Source organism: Homo sapiens, chromosome 11 (genome assembly GCF_000001405.40).
Source record: "Homo sapiens chromosome 11, GRCh38.p14 Primary Assembly".
NCBI lineage: Eukaryota > Metazoa > Chordata > Mammalia > Primates > Hominidae > Homo > Homo sapiens.
This window is the reverse complement of record NC_000011.10, coordinates 128,959,427-128,978,916: the sequence shown is the minus strand read 5'-3', so window position 1 is coordinate 128,978,916 and position 19,490 is coordinate 128,959,427. Positions and strand designations below refer to the sequence as shown.

Below are 19,490 nucleotides of genomic sequence, written 5' to 3'. Positions count from 1 at the left end.
GAAAGAGGCCTCAAAATAAGATGAAAAAGTCTCCTGTGGGTAGCTGGCGTTCCTTTTTCAACTTGGGGAAATCATCATCTGTTTCTAAACGAAAGCTGCAGCGGAATGAGAGTGAGCCTTCAGAGATGAAAGCCATGGCTCTGAAAGGTGAGTGCCTGGGAGATTCTCACTTCTGCTGCTGTCATGATGGTCTTCGGTTGTTCTGGGCACGTTCTTCACATATTGTTATGATCTGCTTCCATAACGTGTTCACAGTTGTGTCACACATACAGAGTGTCTTCTCTCACCGATTCTTTATTCCTAAATTGAAGAGTAACATAAATTATATATAAATATGTAGAAGTATGCAATTTCTTTTCTTAAGGAAACTATATAGATTATATATAGTGTAAATGTGATTAAATTCACATATACCTTGTATATTGTTGTAAATAAATACTGCTATGGTATCTAAATTTATTGATCTGTATTTTTACAGATCTAAAAAATTTCAAAACTGTTTCAACATAACTTTCAAGTTTATAACTCTTTTAACTAAAGAAGGTATTTTTTATTAGATGTCTCATTAATAGAGTATCTTATTAGATCAAATAAATCTATTACTGTCGAAAAAGTACTCTTTTAAAAATAGTTTAAAAGCCATATTCTATTGATATTAACAACTTCTGAATCTAGGAAGGATAGTAGTACTTCTTAGATAATGTTAGAAGTATAATGTTCAATTCATTTAATTCGTCATTCAGTTTGCAATCATGTAGAGCATGTGCTAGCTATTTTGATAGCAGGCTCTGCAGATAGAAAATTAGGGTAGTACCTCTGCCTTCCAAGTCAAATTGGGAAGTCATACGTGTGAGAAAGTAAATTTTAGTGCAGAATCATAGTTATTGAAATAGTGGTTTAGGCTAGGTACAGTGGCTTACACCTGTAATCCCAACACTTTGGGAGGCCAAGTCAGGAAGATCGCTTGAAGCCAGGAGTTCAAGACCAGCCTGGGCAACAAAGTGAGGCCCTGCATCTACAAAATAATAATAATAATAATAATAATAATAATAATAATAATAATAAATTGCAAATAAGCGAGGCTTGGTGGCACATACCTCTAGGCTTAGCTACTCCGGAGGCTGAAGCAGGAGGATTACTTGAGCCCAGGAGGTTGAGGCTGCAGTGAGCTATGGTTGTGCCACTGCACTCCAGCCTGGATGACAAAGCAAGACATAGTCTCTTAAAAAATAAAAGAAATAGTTACATGAGACAGTTGTGGTAGGAATTGTCAACTCTTGTAGAGGAGGGACTAGTGGTTAGGAAATAACAACCTTTGATATGGGTTTTCAAGGAGAAGTAGGGATTCACCTAACTGACAGGAGACTAAGAATGGTATTTCAGGAGATGGGAGCAGAGTGAAAAGAAGCCAGCTGAGGGCTGAATGCTGGAGAGAAGCAATGTTTAAAGGTGGGAAAGGAAGAATTGTCATGAGAGGAGAGTAAGAAGAAATGATTACAAAGGTAGGCAGAGAAAAAAAGAGATGCATGCTATCCTCAGCAGGGGAGGAGGGGGTTAAAAAGAAAGTGTTCGTAGTGCTGCCAAGGGGTTAAAGAGGATGAAGATATTTAGCGAATAAGATTCACATATGTACGTAAAGTTACCTGTGTTAGTATCCCAGAGTTCCCATAACAAATTACCACAAGTCAAGTGGTAAAAAACAACAGAATTTTTTTCCCTCATGGTTCTAGAAGCTCAAAGTCTGAAGTCAAGGTACCAGCAGGGCTGTGCTTGCTCCAGAGGCTCCAGGGAAAAATCCTTCCTTGCCTTTCCAAGCTCCTGGTGGCTGCTGGCATTCCTTGATGTGTGGCAGCATCCCTCCAATCTTTGCCTCCATCTCCACATGGCCATCTCTGTGTTTTCTTACGAGGACACCAGTCATTGGGTGTAGGGCCCACTCTAAATCCAGTATGATGTCATTCAAGATATCATATTGGTCTTTAGGAAATGTAAAAGAAAGAAGCATCTTAGTTAATCTCTCTGCTCAAATTCATAATCCTTTAGAAAAGAGATTTTTCACACGGGAAACCATTTGAGAACAGTATAACACATTATATAATAGAGTACTAAATTGCTGTCAAAATGTGCAGTATAACACATTATGTAATAGAGTACTAAATTGCTGTCAAAATGTACAGCTAATCACTCTCAAAAGTTTAAATGTATCAAGAAAAACACCGATCCCATTAACCACATATGTAACAAATAAGAAATCTTCACACTATGTGTTTTTTATTCTTCAGGTGGCAGGGCAGAAGGAACCCTCCGTTCAGCTAAAAGTGAGGAGTCTCTTACATCTCTCCATGCAGTTGATGGTAAGACTAAAAGCATCAGTCATTTTATTCTATAATATATTGCATAAAGGAATACTGCAATTGAGTATATTTTTATATATCTGTGCTTAATAAATAGGCTATTAACTCATTTCCTAGGAATACTAGTGTCTATTTAGTATTATTCAGATTAAAATTCATTGATGCTTTCACATGGAAGCAGTCTTTAATCTTTTCATTTTTGGCATGACTGCTATTCAGTTTACATAAAAGTAGCCAAAATATTTCAAGTTAACTATTTATATTTATTAATATCTAGTGAAAACTTGTGTTATTACTGTTTCCTTTAGATTTTACAATGGGAGCATAAGAGTTTTCCAAGATTTTCAATTAAACTAGTCAAGATAACCTACAAAACAATGCAGCAAGCTAGGTGGATACTAGTGTTAAGCAGAAGATATTTGTAAGGAATTAATTTTATGGGTGATCAATACATTTGTGAATATATATATATATATATATATATGTTAGACAGAGTCTCGCTTTGTTGCCCAGTTTGGAGTACAGTGGCGCAATCTTGGATCACTGCAACCTCTAACTCCCGGTTTAAGTGATTATCTTGCCTCAGCCTCCCAAATAGCTGGGACTACAGGCATGCGCCACCATGCCCGGGAGCATAATTTTATAAAGTGTATAATTAAGCAGTTTTTATATTTTTAGTAGATACGGGGTTTTGCCACTTAGGCCAGGCTAGTCTCGAACTCCTGACCTCAGGTGATCTGCCCACCTCAGCTTCCCAAAGTGCTGGGATCACAGGCATGAACCGCTGTGACCGGCCAATATATTTATATTTATTAAGATAGTTTCTGCCTCTTTAAATTACTTTTTAACTATGGCAATTAAAATAATCCTAATAGAATAGAGAGTTTCTTTTTTACCAGTTGGATATTTAGCAACATCGTAAAATTATGTAATACTCTCTGCCACTCTTGAAGACTGCTTGGGAAACTTAAAACCTATTCTTAAAGAAAAAAATGAAGTTCTTGTTTAGTATCTGAAAGGAATTTTTTACTAAATATATGTAAATACTTTATGGGATTATGAAGATTTTTTAATTGAGAAGTTCAATTTATTTAGAAATTTGAATATTGTAAGGATGTTTCCCCACAAAAAAAACATCCATTTTGCTATTATAGATTCAAAATGCCACTCAAAGTGATTAATTCCACCTCATAAGTCATATGAGGCCAGTGATAAAATAAGACACAAAGAAATGAAAAACTTGCCCAAAGTCACACCAAGAATCAGTGTTGGATTAGTAATAGAATCCAAGCATTCTGAGTTCTTTTCCTCTCCAGACCATGAAATACTGCATTCGCCCTCTGATTCTATCACATGTTTGCTATTTAGCATTTGGTTTTGGAGTTCTGTTATCTCAAGTGTAAATGATCTGTGTGCACTGAAAGAATTTTCAGAAAGAAAATGAGAAGTAACACTTCCTTCACCTAGATAGTAAGTTACTGCTGTGCTGAGTAGGTGACTTACCACAGCATTCTGTATCTACGATGTTCTTACTTTGACACTGTTATTCATTTTTTCCAGGTGATTCTAAGCTCTTCCGACCCAGAAGACCCAGATCTTCCAGTGATGCACTGTCTGCCTCTTTTAATGGAGAAATGCTGGGGAACCGCTGTAACTCCTATGATAATCTGCCTCATGACAATGAGAGTGAGGAGGAAGGAGGGCTGCTTCATATCCCAGCCCTTATGTCTCCTCATTCAGCTGAGGATGTTGACTTGAGCCCACCAGACATTGGAGTAGCCAGCCTGGATTTTGATCCAATGTCATTTCAATGTAGTCCTCCTAAGGCCGAATCAGAATGTCTGGAGAGTGGTGCTTCCTTTTTAGATTCACCAGGATACTCCAAGGATAAACCAAGTGCCAATAAAAAGGATGCAGAAACAGGTAGTAGCCAATGTCAGACTCCAGGAAGCACAGCAAGCTCTGAACCTGTCTCTCCTCTTCAGGAGAAACTGAGTCCATTCTTTACCCTGGACTTGAGCCCAACTGAAGATAAATCATCTAAGCCATCCTCCTTTACTGAAAAGGTCGTCTATGCTTTCTCTCCGAAGATAGGACGGAAATTAAGCAAATCACCTTCTATGAGCATATCTGAGCCAATTTCAGTGACCCTACCACCACGGGTGTCAGAAGTCATTGGTACAGTCTCAAATACCACAGCTCAGAATGCATCATCTTCAACCTGGGACAAATGCGTTGAAGAAAGGGATGCCACAAATAGATCCCCCACCCAGATAGTAAAGATGAAAACAAATGAGACAGTTGCCCAAGAAGCATATGAATCTGAAGTCCAGCCCCTGGACCAGGTGGCTGCTGAAGAAGTAGAATTGCCAGGGAAAGAGGATCAGTCTGTCTCAAGCAGTCAGAGTAAGGCTGTAGCTTCTGGACAGACTCAGACAGGTACCGTTTGTTTTCCTCCATTCTTTCTTTAAGTTAAGAGGGATCTTCAATCCTGTGTGCCATCTGTGCCTTTTAAGAGAGAAATTTGTCCACAGCTAGCCTTTAATCAAAGAGAATGCTTTTCTGGGTGGTGCTGATGGCTCAGAGCCCTAAATTAAAAGCAGTCCAACAAAACTCCCCAAAAGGGCCAATGGTCCTGCTTCAAATCTTCACAAAAGTCCCCTTATCTCTTTGGACGGTGAGAATTCGTGGATAATTTTTGCACAACTGCGTAGCTCTTGATTCTGTTTTTCTCTTCTAATAAAATATCTTTATTGTAGCCTTCCAAGTTAACAAGCCAGCTACACCATCAAATGTAAAAACTGTTCATAATAACAGTCTACAAGCACTTGAAGCTTGTTTTCTAAGCAATCTTTTCTGAGCCAGGTGAGGGACATGCTTTTTTTCCCCCCCATCTCTGTAACAATTCAAGAAGAGATTGCAGTCTTTATACACTGTTTGTTTTAGTTTTCCTTCTGAACCAGATGTGTTTTCAACAGCATTTGCATGTGGGATAGAAGATCATGGATTGCCATTTTGAAATATGGAAGGCACCTATTTTTTAATGATCACATGGGGAGTGTTTGGCTTTCCATTTAGGATAACGTAAGCTACCTTTTCACTCTCATTTTTTTTCCCAATTTCCCACTAGGAGCAGTTACCCATGACCCCCCTCAGGATTCCGTTCCTGTCAGTTCAGTCTCTCTTATCCCACCACCACCGCCTCCGAAAAATGTTGCCCGAATGTTGGCGCTAGCATTAGCTGAGTCCGCACAGCAAGCCTCAACTCAGTCATTGAAGAGACCAGGGACCTCTCAGGCTGGGTATACAAATTATGGAGACATAGCGGTGGCTACAACTGAAGATAATCTGTCCAGTTCTTACTCTGCAGTTGCTCTAGATAAGGCCTATTTCCAAACCGATCGACCAGCAGAGCAGTTCCACCTCCAGAATAATGCACCAGGAAACTGTGACCATCCTCTACCAGAGACAACAGCTACTGGGGATCCTACCCATTCCAACACAACTGAATCTGGGGAGCAACATCACCAAGTAGACTTAACAGGGAATCAGCCACATCAAGCATATTTATCTGGGGACCCAGAAAAGGCCAGAATTACTTCAGTTCCCTTAGACTCAGAGAAGTCTGATGATCATGTAAGTTTCCCTGAAGACCAGTCTGGGAAGAACAGTATGCCAACTGTCTCCTTCTTGGATCAGGACCAGTCTCCACCCCGTTTCTACAGTGGAGATCAGCCTCCTTCTTATCTTGGTGCAAGTGTGGATAAACTCCATCACCCTTTAGAATTTGCAGACAAATCTCCCACACCTCCTAATTTACCTAGCGATAAAATCTACCCTCCTTCTGGGTCCCCCGAAGAGAATACCAGCACAGCCACCATGACTTACATGACAACTACTCCAGCAACAGCCCAAATGAGCACCAAGGAAGCCAGCTGGGATGTGGCTGAACAACCCACCACTGCTGATTTTGCTGCTGCCACACTTCAGCGCACGCACAGAACTAATCGTCCCCTTCCCCCTCCGCCTTCCCAGAGATCTGCAGAGCAGCCACCAGTTGTGGGGCAGGTACAAGCAGCAACCAATATAGGATTAAATAATTCCCACAAGGTAAGAAGGGGAAGATATCAGTGAGATGAAATATACTATTACCAAAGGTATGTCACTTTTCAGCAGGGTGTGTTGTTATCTTTGAGTCAGACACAACAATTACTTTTAAGCCCTGTGGCTGGTTTCCATGAGATAGTTCCCATTTGAGGTTGGAGTCTGCCATTACCTTGATGCTGGCTTTTCCCCAGGAAAGGAGTAGCTCCTAGATGACTATAGCTTAACTGTACCTGCTCCCTTTTCTTCCTAAAGTGTCTCGGTAGTTTATTCCAGTAACACAAAGAGATCAGGATCAAATGAGACAAAGTGGGCTTTACGGTTGTGGGTTGCTTTTTCTTATTTTTTTCCAACTCCATCACTGACTCATTGTGACTTTGGGCAAGTCATTTACCTACCCTCTGCCAATTATTCACAGTTACACAATGAAAATACTTCATTCTCAAAACATTCGTAAGACTGTCTGCCTTGCAGACTTTTTGGAAGTATAAGAGATTATAGTGCCTTGGGATTTTTTGTTACTTTCCTAGCATTCACCAGCAGTTTGTCCCATAGTCAGGTGCCTGTTTCAATGAGAGAATGTAGTATGCAGAATGCTAAGGTTTCTTCCTGAATTTCCTCATATTTTAAGAAAGTGCCACAGGTTGTTTTTCTTCTATATGGTCACCTTGAACTATTAATAGGACTTAAGATTTTAGACCTTAGTGGAGGATGCTGTGTTTACTGCTTCTCAAGGATAGCATGTTTTCAGTATGAGGATTATCTTTGGCCAGACTAAGGTGGAATCAAAGGTAGGAGAGAGGCAGTAGCTTCTGATTTGAATATTGCCTTTCCCTATGTTTGAAGCCCTAAAACTGCTAACTGTGTACAACTGTGAATTTCAAAAGTCTCCCCAGATGATAGAATTAACTCTTAATTTAACAAGATGTCCTTTGTGTTGAGACTGAGCTAGACTAATAGACCGGGTATGTATTTTTAAGCTCTACAGCATTACTTGACTAAACCTCTCTTTTGGTTTGTATATTAAAATTATGCCATAGGCAACCTCATCTCGCATTTAAAACCTCTCATAAATTAGAAAACTTTGAATGGTTCTCCAAAGATAATACTGGGTGTTGTACAAAATAGCAGCACAAGCCTTCTTTTCCTAGAAATGGGTACAGATTCATTGCAACCACATGGCTTGGGAAAGTTCAAGCTGCTACCCAACCAGCCTTAATTTGTGAGTTACAAATTTAATAGTACTTGATTCATAGAGGGAACAAAAAATAGACCCATAGTATTATCATCTTTCAATAGGTTCAAGGAGTAGTTCCAGTTCCAGAGAGGCCACCTGAACCTCGAGCCATGGATGACCCTGCGTCTGCCTTCATCAGTGACAGTGGTGCTGCTGCTGCTCAGTGTCCCATGGCTACAGCTGTCCAGCCAGGCCTGCCTGAGAAAGTGCGGGACGGTGCCCGGGTCCCGCTGCTGCACCTGCGCGCCGAGTCTGTCCCTGCGCATCCCTGTGGCTTTCCTGCACCACTGCCCCCCACCAGGATGATGGAGAGTAAGATGATTGCTGCCATACACTCCAGCAGTGCAGATGCCACCAGCAGTTCAAATTATCATTCCTTTGTCACTGCTTCATCCACCTCTGTGGACGATGCATTGCCTTTACCACTTCCTGTCCCACAACCTAAGCATGCTTCTCAGAAAACAGTTTACTCCTCCTTTGCTAGGCCCGATGTCACCACTGAACCCTTTGGTCCAGATAACTGTTTGCATTTCAATATGACTCCAAACTGCCAGTACCGTCCCCAGAGTGTACCTCCCCATCACAATAAATTGGAGCAGCACCAAGTGTATGGTGCCAGGTCAGAGCCACCAGCCTCCATGGGTCTTCGTTATAACACATATGTGGCCCCAGGAAGAAACGCATCTGGACACCACTCCAAGCCATGCAGCCGGGTCGAGTATGTGTCTTCTTTGAGCTCCTCTGTCAGGAATACCTGTTACCCCGAAGACATTCCACCGTACCCTACCATCCGGAGAGTGCAGTCTCTCCATGCTCCGCCGTCTTCCATGATTCGCTCTGTTCCCATTTCACGGACAGAAGTTCCCCCAGATGATGAGCCAGCCTACTGCCCAAGACCTCTGTACCAATATAAGCCATATCAGTCCTCCCAGGCCCGCTCAGATTATCATGTCACTCAGCTTCAGCCTTACTTTGAGAATGGCCGGGTCCACTACAGGTATAGCCCATATTCCAGTTCTTCTAGTTCCTATTACAGTCCAGATGGGGCCCTGTGTGATGTGGATGCCTATGGCACAGTCCAGTTGAGACCCCTTCACCGCCTTCCCAATCGAGACTTTGCTTTCTACAATCCTAGGCTGCAAGGAAAGAGCTTGTACAGTTATGCTGGTTTGGCTCCACGTCCCCGGGCCAACGTGACTGGCTATTTCTCTCCCAACGACCATAATGTAGTCAGCATGCCTCCGGCTGCTGATGTGAAGCACACCTACACCTCATGGGATCTTGAGGACATGGAAAAATACCGCATGCAGTCCATCCGGAGAGAGAGCCGTGCTCGGCAGAAGGTGAAAGGGCCTGTCATGTCCCAATATGATAACATGACCCCGGCGGTGCAGGACGACTTGGGTGGGATCTATGTCATCCATCTGCGTAGTAAATCAGATCCTGGGAAAACTGGACTTCTCTCAGTGGCAGAAGGAAAGGAGAGCCGCCATGCAGCCAAGGCCATCAGTCCCGAGGGAGAGGACCGCTTCTATAGGAGGCATCCCGAGGCAGAGATGGACAGAGCCCACCATCACGGAGGCCATGGTAGCACGCAGCCGGAGAAGCCATCCCTGCCTCAGAAGCAGAGCAGCCTGAGGAGCAGGAAGCTTCCTGACATGGGCTGCAGTCTTCCTGAGCACAGGGCACACCAAGAAGCAAGCCATAGGCAGTTCTGTGAGTCAAAGAATGGGCCCCCTTATCCCCAGGGAGCTGGCCAGTTAGATTATGGGTCCAAAGGGATTCCAGACACTTCTGAGCCAGTCAGCTACCACAACTCTGGAGTAAAATATGCTGCATCCGGGCAAGAATCTTTAAGACTGAACCACAAAGAGGTAAGGCTCTCCAAAGAGATGGAGCGACCCTGGGTTAGGCAGCCTTCTGCCCCAGAGAAACACTCCAGAGACTGCTACAAGGAGGAAGAACACCTCACTCAGTCAATCGTCCCACCCCCTAAACCAGAGAGGAGTCATAGCCTCAAACTCCATCATACCCAGAACGTGGAGAGGGACCCCAGTGTGCTGTACCAGTACCAACCACACGGCAAGCGCCAGAGCAGTGTGACTGTTGTGTCCCAGTATGATAACCTGGAAGATTACCACTCCCTGCCTCAGCACCAGCGAGGAGTCTTTGGAGGGGGCGGCATGGGGACGTATGTGCCCCCTGGCTTTCCCCATCCACAGAGCAGGACCTATGCTACAGCGTTGGGTCAAGGGGCCTTCCTGCCCGCAGAGTTGTCCTTGCAGCATCCTGAAACACAGATCCATGCAGAATGAGCCCTGCGAGCAATAGAGTTGAAGCAGCCTCTGCTGGACAGTGGACTGTTCTATTTTTTTCAATAACCAAAAAGATTAAACAAAAAATACTATAAAACCCCTGACCACATTTAAAAAATGATAATAAAAGTAAACAAATCAGCATCTTTTTCCCCTTCCCTGCTTCATTACCCCCTCTTCCATCTATAGACTTTGTCATTTTTGTCTTTAGAAAAGATCTGAAGGATGGTAAAGCCCCGTGCTGAAACCCAGTAGAGAAACCTGTCTCAGGACACACTTGCCATCTAGGGCTAGCTTGAAAGAGCCTGAGGACTGCCTTTAACTGAATTTGAATTCAGCATTGTCCTTTCTTCTTAGTATTTGCTGCATAATTGAGAGCAGTTCACATCGATTTCCTGGTAGGCGTCTGCATTCCCTGTTGTGTTCCTGCTTCTCCTTCAGTAGCTGCACAACTTGCGCAGATCGACACACTGTTGTCACTTCATTCTCCCCGTCTGAGAAGGATCTTGTGTTCAGTTAGAGTCGTGGAAAAATCCCTGATCCTTCAAGGTCAGTCAGACAGTTGGCAACATTATAATTAAAAATAAGAAATTAAGACTTTAAATTAAACATTTGGTAGAGTCATCATAAAACACCAGACCACTTAGACTCAGGCTGAACCATACTCTTTCTATTCTTATTTTTCATCCTTGTTCCTCACGGTTCAGTGAACAGGCTCATATCATGACAGAATGGACTTTTAAAAGTTAGTACTTAAGGAAACTTCTTTAGGTGGAAGAAAGTAAAGTTCTTATTGTCAGTGAACTTTATTAGCACCAGAAATCTCTATTGATGCTTTTAATGCATTGCCTGCCTTCAGGTTTTCTTCTTACCCCACCCCTCAATAAGATTTGGTGAATTGTAATTCTAGTAAAACATGTCATACCATTGGTTTTCCTAAATTATCAACTTTCTTTCATTAAAAAAAAAAAAAAAAAAAAAAGCCCAGCATGGTTTGACTGGATAGACACGCATAATTTATTATGAATATAAATTTCCATGTTTGTTTCTGTTCCTAAACCAGAGTACGAGGTCCCTGGGAATTTAAGTAGCTACGCATTATCTATTATTAGACTGCAAGTTCCTGCAATAACTGCTTAGTTCACAGCCCCGTTTCACCAGTGGAGTTCTGGGCAGTTATTGCTGTCCTAAGGCATTACTGTCGTTTGCTTACTCTATACTTGTGTGGTCACAGTCTTCTTGTAATTACCATCTACACCAGCATTTCAGGTATAGCTCTTTATAACTCTGGAGACATGTAAAACATGTTTAACACCCACGAGTTTTGAAAGTTGCATTCCTTATTAGAGTAGGAACTCTCTAGCCCAACTCCATTCTATGTTCTCAGCTCCCTCCACCCCCCAAAATACATCAGACTAGCAAGGCAGTCCTATGTTTACAAAACGAGTTTAGATTGTCATTTCATTCCATAACTCTTAATAATACTCAAGTTTTATACATTCACGTATTTTAAATGCTCGGTCTGTAGAAGACACTAGGAGAATTGCATTCCAATTACTGGATGGTTGCTGCTCTGGCTTTTTAGAACTTGAAATTAATTTTTATTTAGAGCAAAGGAGGAAATCTTTTAAGAGGCTAAAATCATGCTGCTATTATTGCTGTGAAATTGTATAAAGATTAGGATTCATGCCAGTTTTTATTTTAAAAAATAATGTGCATTTTAAGGGTTTATATTTAGAAAAAAATAAAATGTTTCAAGAACAACACATTGATATGTGGAAATATTCTATAAGGTTTTCTTTTGTTCCCTTAGAATTCATTGGAGGGATGCAGTAAAAACTGTAGTAGAAACCTTGAAACACCCATATGTGAAAAGGTCTGTGGAAATTGAGGCCTCTACATTAAAAGTGCAGAACCAACTGTTTTACAGTCAAAGTGCTAGGAAACCTGATAGGATACTTCCCTTTGGCACAAAAACACCCTGGGTGCTACATACAGGAGTATGACCTTTGGTGAATATGTGGCACTAATTTTTTTTACCTTAATCATATTCTTGTCAAGTAGGCAACCCATTGCCCCTTGGAGACCACACCAGCCCTGTAAGTTCTCACCAGCAGCATGGAGATTAGGAAGAGGGGCTGCTGTGACCAGGAGATACACACGGCTTTAAGTAACTGAGAGCCTAAAGAAAGTAACCCAGGGAGTCCGGTCCAGTTTTAATATTTGTGGATTTGTTGTCACACACATTGTTTAGTCCTGAAACTAAAACCTATTTTATAAATAGTAGGGTTAATTCCTCGAAACAATTTCTTTATTAATAAATGTCCTGTGGGTTTAGAAATATCAGGTAAATATTTGAATACAGAATGATGATTGCAATTACTGTTACAAGCGTGAAACACAAACTTCAGATCAAATCTAGAGTTGCTTCATTTAATGCATGCTAGCAACAGCCTTAACTTTGGATTCAGTTATTTGAAACACTTTTCCGGCATCTTTCCCTTTCTAATGTTGTGGGGTGGAAACCGGATGGCAAATCACTGTGAGCCGGATACCTCAGCACAGTCCACCTTGTGTGTGACTTCACAAATGGGGGACTTCACAAATGGGGTAACTGAATGTTATTACTTTCAAATTTTGACATGGAGCATTATGATCAAGGAAATGGAGCTGCCTTATACATTAAACCCGTGATTTAATCCTATTGACATTTTCATAGCCATGCCTCCAGATTTTATCTTTTTGGCAAAATTCTGATTCCACAGTTTGGTCTGATTGAAATAAATATTCCCTGGACGTCTGGCTAAAAATTTTGCTAACAATCCCAGAGGTGCCATTTTCTTATTAATAAATTTCATTGGAGCCTTATTTCTTACTATATTCAATTTCGTTTCAAACCTGCAAGTCCCTGGGATGGTCCCACGACTAGGGCCTGCACATTTCTTACAATGGCAAAGCATTTTTTAAAATTTAGGGTCAGGTTGAAAAATTCTAGGACTAATTCTGTAGAGAGGAGGGACTGTTAACTAACGTGAGTGGGGACGGAGGAGTAGGTTACCACATTTGGAGCAGTAATAGATGCAAACGATGTAAATTTGAAATTTGCCCCTTTAGTTAAAGAAGGAGCCTGCAAAGTCCATTTCTCTGTTTTCAGCCCTGTCAGTCACCCATTTAGGATGTTGGCAAAGTACTGCTTGAGCAGAATGTGTAAGAAAGTAATAATGAAAGCAAAAGTATGTCAGACAGTTACTTCTTCCACATGGTTAGAGGCATGTGATTTTCAGCACTGTGTGTTACAGAAATGTCAGGAATGGTGTATTATAACGTGTGCAAGATAATGTCAGTGTGCACAGAGGGTCTTTTTTCCTTATCTGATTAGTACTGTTAATGTTCAAAGAATAAAAATGGTTTTACAGTTTAGATTCTGAGATAGCAAAACCTGATTTTTCAACCATGACCTGCATGAGAGAAGCATCCTAGGAAGTCTTAGATCATACTTTTGAGTTTTTAATTTTAATTTATATAGTGTTTTTTTATGTCTTAATATTTTTGTGAACTGGTGTAAATTGTTAATGCATATAAGCTTGTGTATTTTTGTAAATAGTTTTGTGATTTATTTCTTGCCCCATATGTAAATATTTAGAGTCTCATTTCTTGCAAACTTATTTGAAGCTGAGTTGTGGGTTTGGGTTTTGTTTGTTTCTTTGGTTGCAGGGTGGGGTGGGGGGTGGCAGGGGAGGGAGGAAGGGATTTTTGTACCTGGAGATGGAGATATCTTGTGGTTTAAAGCAAATGTCCCACTGAAAGTGATTCAAATATCAACAGAATTATTTCAGGTTAAAACAGACTGCTTTGTGTATGTGTTTCCTTTTTGACCTAATATGAATTATAATGAGATAGTGGGGGTGATTGATTTGGGGAATTAGGACCAAAGGACACATGTTTTCATGACACATCCTGTTATGCCCAGGGGTACGCTATTTGAGGAAAGGGGTTAAGTGTCTCCTGTCGTTATCTATTTACCACCTTTTGCTGCCTGGCCAAATTTCCCCCAAGTCAAACACTGTTCCCTGTAGAGCGGTGGAGACCTCTTGATCCATCCTGGAGAGTCTGGGCTGACTTGCTGCTTCCTGCTCCTGAAGGAGTCCACACTCCGCTCTTGGAGCCTGGTTCCCGAGTGTGCACTTCTCAGGAAACTGAATCAGCTTATCTCAGGATCCTTCAAAGGGGATTCTGAATAAAACCATATCTTTACAGATTCCCAGGAAACATCTTGGACATCCTGTTTTCTCTCTCTTAAGGGTGAAATGACCATAAAAGAATCATGCCGCAGATGAGGCCACCTGTGGTGAGCTGGCTCGCAGCAAGCCCAGATCAAGTGTTAGTGAGACGGTGACTCTAGGTGTGAAGCAAGTACTGCAAGTGGCCCAGCTGCCCAGCAGGGCTCCAGAGTTTCTTCTGCTGCCACAGTTCTCAAAATAAATACTTCAGTATCAACCAGGACTTAAAGGTGAGGCGGGGAGGACCCTCAATATTCAGCTGTTGAATATTGGTTTTCCTATTGAGAGTCAAGTTGCAAATCATTCTTCATTTTGAGGTGTTAGGGCCCTATTTTTTTTTCTTGCCAGCAATAGGAAAAGTTGCCTGTTTATTCCAGATGGCCCTAGTAAGCCAACCGTCTTTTCTGTGCCTGCATACCACACTCCAGACCTCAGCAAAGATACAGCATCTGCTTTGGTAAGCGTCCTCAGACCTGAATAAGTGTTCCCATGGAAACTGCTCAGATGGGATGAAAGAAAAGATACAGCCGCAGCTCCACTGGGTCTTCTCAGTTTTCAGGACTCTGCTTTCCATGCCAACTATTTCATCACCAAACTTATGTTATACTGACAAAAATATGGTACCTACCTCTTAAAATGTGTATCACTGAGGAATCAGTAACACATACATTCTTGGTGGTTGAGATTTTAGTCATTTGTGGTTGTACAGGAAGAGGCACATTTTAAAGTAACACTGACTCCCCATCCAGTAAAACCTTGGGCATCTGGAAACACCAGAAATAAGACATTTTAGTTGGTCATGTTTTTCATACAGTTGACAGTGTACCTCTGAAAAAGTATAAGGTGTAATTTTATTTTAGACCCTTGAATCAAAATACTTCCAGAATGTATTTCCAACCACAAATTTTGTGGCCAGTGTAGTTTCATCACTTGTATCAATAGATTACTGCACCATGCATAACTTAGGGATATCCTCGGGGGCACACTGAGATAAAAGATCTGCGTTTATACCAAGTGGTTTAACACCAGTTCTTTTTATATTTTTATACCCCTTTTTTTCAGTTTCGTATGTCTTTGCTGCTGTCACTTTGTGTTACTGTCTAAGAACTACCTATAAACCCTCCTCTTCCTTTTTCTCTTTGTAATTCTAATCTGGGGAGCAAAAGTAGTTCTGAACTGGAGTCCTGAAAGGTTATCCTGAATCGTGTGGACTTTGTATTGTCTATTTTTTGTTACTCTGAGGCTCTTGTTTTCTCCTAGCAAAGGGCTTGGATAGCTGAGTCTCAGGAAGGAGATGTTAGTGTATAAGATGCTCAGAAGGGAGAATGAAACCAAAGCTGTAAGACTTCACCCTTCATTTGACAGTCTGTGAGAAAGCGATGTGATTAGACGCAGTGGCATTTCTCCTGTTAATAACTGCAGAGTGTTTCTCCCCATAGGAGAATGCTAGGCTAGAAGACAGTTTGAGCATCCACAATTAAGAAACCAGAATATCATGTAGACAGCTTCAGCTGTCACTGAGTCATTTGCAATTCGTGTTCTTAATTCTCTAAAAAATTTTTGAAAAGCATCCTAGATTTCTCAGCCACTAGTTATGTTTTAAACTCGGCAAGTATTTCTCAAACTTCAGAATCCATTTAGAACACCTGGAGAGCTAAGCTAGTTAAGATTCTTGAGCAACCACCAGATGGTCTGATCCAGTGCGACTGGGATTGGACTTAGAATCTAGTTTTGGTGTCCACTCCATGTAATCCTGGTGCAGATGGCTGAGAAATACAGATCTAGGCAGCACATTTAATATGCTTGCAGAGGGAGCCGTCTCTTGTTCATTGAAGTTACCACCTTTTCCCATTCACACTTTGGTTCCCCTTCACTTCGGTGATAGGGTAACAGAAATGTATCCTTAATTTCTCTCTCCCCTTGGTATAAATATTAAGCCCCAGACTCAATAACAATGGCATGCAAAAATTAGAGCTAATTGAACTGAACAAACTATAGAAAATGCAGCATTCTTTAAAAAGGAGATAAAATACTGCTGGCTGAATACTCTAATGCCTCCTATTATATGCTTATATAATATTAAGACGACCTGAGACATTTGGTCTTGTTAGGGAAGTGTAGCTAATTCACATTTGCTTTTTGACAGCTAACTTTTTCAAATACTGCACTCTGGCTGGGTGTGATGGCTCATGCCTGTAATCCCAGCACTTTGGGAGGCCAAGGTGGGCGGATCACCTGAGGTCAGGAGTTCGAGACCACCCTGGCCAACATGGTGAAACCCTGTCTCTGCTAAAAATACAAAAACTAGCTGGGTGTGGTGGCACACCTGTACTCCCAGCTACTTGGGAGGCTGAGGCAGGAGAGTTGCTTGAACCCGGGAGGCAGAGGCTGCAGTGAGCTGAGTTCATGCCACTGCACTTCAGCCTGGGCAACAGAGGGAAACTGTCTCAAAAACAACAACAACAAACAAAAAAATCAAATACTGCACTCATGGAAAACAAATAGCTAGGACCAAGTGATGTTCCTTCTTTTCTCATCAAAACTTTTACAAGAACTATCGTCACATAATTAACTTAAGTTTTTTCATATTTTATCAATTCTGGGCAATGGTATAGCAATGTTTTTAACAGCAGTAACAAACTATGCTTACTATAGTGCCAGTTGTTGTGAGCCTTTTGTGTCTGTTAACTCATTTATTTCTCATAACCCATCAGTTTGTAGATGAAACCAAGGCTCAACCAAAGGTTCAACGCTCTGCCCAGTGGCATACAGTGAGTAATCCATGTGGAGCTGAAAGTCAAACCTGCACACACTGACTCAAAGCAGACTTGAGAGTTGGCTGGTTGAATCTGGACTGCTACTAACTCTAAAACCTCTACTGACCCACTAAACCCTCTAAAATTATTTCTAAAACTCTGATGAAGCCATGACTTCCTGATCTCTAAAGTGGGAATAATAGTACCTATGAAGGGTTGCCGTGAGGATTCAATTAGATAGTAGGTGTTTGTACAGGGCTCAGCAGGAGAGCAAGTGCCAAATAAAAGTTACCCAGAACTTTTACTTGGAAATAGCACAAGACCATGCAGCAATAGAAGGGAAGAGGGCTATATTGTGCTTGTATCATTAAGTATTTAACCACTTTCTATTGTATCATTAAGAATTTATTAAGGGTCAACCCTTCTGAAAAAATAACCGGAAAGTTCTCCCATGGTTGGATCTCGCAGGAAGAGAGCCCTGGCAGTTAAAATGGGACTTCACAGGGAATCCTATAGCGTGACGTAGTAGTGGAGAAGGTCCTTGCTTACCATGAAGTCCGAATAACAACCAAAAAGTCTTGTGTAATTATTCAGTGGAAACCATTATCCAGATAGCACCTATTATGACGACTGAACTGTGTCTACATTTCAGAACAATGTCTAGTGCTAGGTTATCTATTGCATCTGTCAACTTTCCAGTTCAGGGAAGTGGTCCAGGAACCTCTGTGAGCTTCACCTTCTCTTCTAGTGGATGGTGCCTTCTGCAGGTATCGCTTTCCTGTATTGCCCTAGTTACTCACAGGCTCATTCAATACACGAGATGGCAGGAGTAGAAGCAACATGGTGAATTTCTGCAAAAGAAGTAATGAGGGAAAGCAGGCCTGGTATTCTACAAAACAGTTGCTAAAGAGAGGGATTTGACTGGCTCTCCATTTCTGGATAGTAAAACTTGGTAAATAATGAAGTTTTGTTTTGTTTTTTTGAGACAAAGTCTTGCTCTGTCACCCAGCGTGGAGTGCAGTGGCACTATCTTGTCTCATTGCAACCTCTGCCTTCCAGGTTCAAGTGATTCTCCTGCCTCAGCATCCTAAGTAGCTGGGACTACAGATGTGCACCACCACACCCGGCTAACGTCTGTATTTTTAGTAGAGATGGGGTTTTGCCATGTTGGCCAGGCTGTTCTTGAACTCCTGACTTCAAGTGATCTGCCTGCCTCGGCCTCCCAAAGTGCTGGAATTACAGGTATGAGCCACTGGCTCTGGCCTCATTATTCTTAAACACATATATATTTTCCTGGTTCAAGATCAGTTAAAGCAAAATGCATTTCCAGAGAAAAGAGCATAGTAATTGCACTGATAGTAGCTAATATCATTAAAAATTTATTGATCAATTATCATGTACCAGGCTATCCTAAGTATTTTGCATATGTTAATATTAACTCATTCTTCCTAACAATTACGTGAGGTAACATTTTTTCTTTTATTGCCACTTTACAGGTAAATCAAAGCCTAGAAAGTTTTAAGTAATGTGCCTGAGTTTATATCTCTGAGGTTAAGTGGGGTGCAGGCCCAAGCTCTGTGACCCCAGAGCCTGCAGTTCTTACCACTGTTAGACTGTATGCCCACTGTGTATCCTCAAAGATCATGAATCCCTAACGTAGTTGTGCCTGCGAGGCTAGGGCACTGTGTTGTTGTTGATTTGCAGGGAACACAACTCCTCACATTAGTCAGGTTAGGCTAGGGTTATGCTGTAGTAACACAACCAAAATCTCAATGCCTTAGACATGAAAAGAGGTGTTTTTCCTGCTCAAGGCAAGCCTGCTGCAGGTCCAGGCAACTGTCCTGGGTAACAGTCCTCTGAGCAGCCATTGGCATCCCTTACCCCCATCACCTAAGACTGAACTCCTAGGATGGTGAGGCAAGGGAGGAGAACACTGGAGGAGCTTGCAGGGATAGTTAAAATGTGGTCCAGAAGTCACACATGTCGTTCCTGCTCACAACTCATCAGATAGAATGAGTCTGAAGGCCATGCCAGTACAAGCAAGGTGCGAGTTAAAGGCAGTAGACCCCCTGTCTGGAAGGAGAGCAGAGCTGGGAGCAGTGCACAGCATGGACATCTACCTCCCACTCCACTCTCGACTCAGGTTCTCCCATGACATCTGTCACTGACAAGGGCAGCAGCATGCGGAAGAAGAGTGCTCTAGCTTCCTGAAGCAGAGAGCGACAATTATAGCCCCCAAGACAAGCTCAAGGACTGGCAGTTTATAGGGCAAAAGAAATTGAGGGGCAGCATAGGTTGCCAGATGAGGTGTCACTCTTGAGACCTCATAATGGTAGCAGAAGGTTGGTCCTGCATCCACAAGCTTCTAACCATATATTGGAGAAGAAGAAGCTTCTGGAAATAAAGAGAGGGTGTGTCTTGTTCCAGCTGCAGAGATATGGAAG

General features: G+C 41.9%; 1 protein-coding gene across 14 annotated transcripts in view, besides 2 other annotated features; it reads left to right on the top strand.

The window, feature by feature from the left end:
* Positions 1-13,857, top strand: part of ARHGAP32 (Rho GTPase activating protein 32) — a 314,573-nt gene extending 300,716 nt beyond the window's left edge. For all 14 annotated transcript variants that reach the window (XM_047427929.1, XM_047427927.1, NM_001378025.1 and 11 more), the window contains 5 exons: positions 2-147; positions 2,283-2,354; positions 3,915-4,793; positions 5,485-6,464; positions 7,758-13,857. In XM_047427929.1, the coding sequence (XP_047283885.1) occupies positions 2-147; positions 2,283-2,354; positions 3,915-4,793; positions 5,485-6,464; positions 7,758-10,010 (4,330 nt within the window). In that variant the 3' untranslated portion in view covers positions 10,011-13,857. The remainder of the gene's footprint in view (position 1; positions 148-2,282; positions 2,355-3,914; positions 4,794-5,484; positions 6,465-7,757) is intronic.
* Positions 7,428-7,927: an enhancer, noted in NCBI's record as "H3K4me1 hESC enhancer chr11:128840885-128841384 (GRCh37/hg19 assembly coordinates)". NCBI's record gives its function as "activates a minimal SCP1, AML or CMV promoter by ChIP-STARR-seq in naive and primed H9 embryonic stem cells {active_cell/tissue: H9 hESC(naive and primed)}" and the evidence as "EXISTENCE:reporter gene assay evidence [ECO:0000049][PMID:30033119]".
* Positions 7,928-8,429: an enhancer, noted in NCBI's record as "H3K4me1 hESC enhancer chr11:128840383-128840884 (GRCh37/hg19 assembly coordinates)". NCBI's record gives its function as "activates a minimal SCP1, AML or CMV promoter by ChIP-STARR-seq in naive and primed H9 embryonic stem cells {active_cell/tissue: H9 hESC(naive and primed)}" and the evidence as "EXISTENCE:reporter gene assay evidence [ECO:0000049][PMID:30033119]".
* Positions 13,858-19,490: the final 5,633 nt, after the last annotated feature.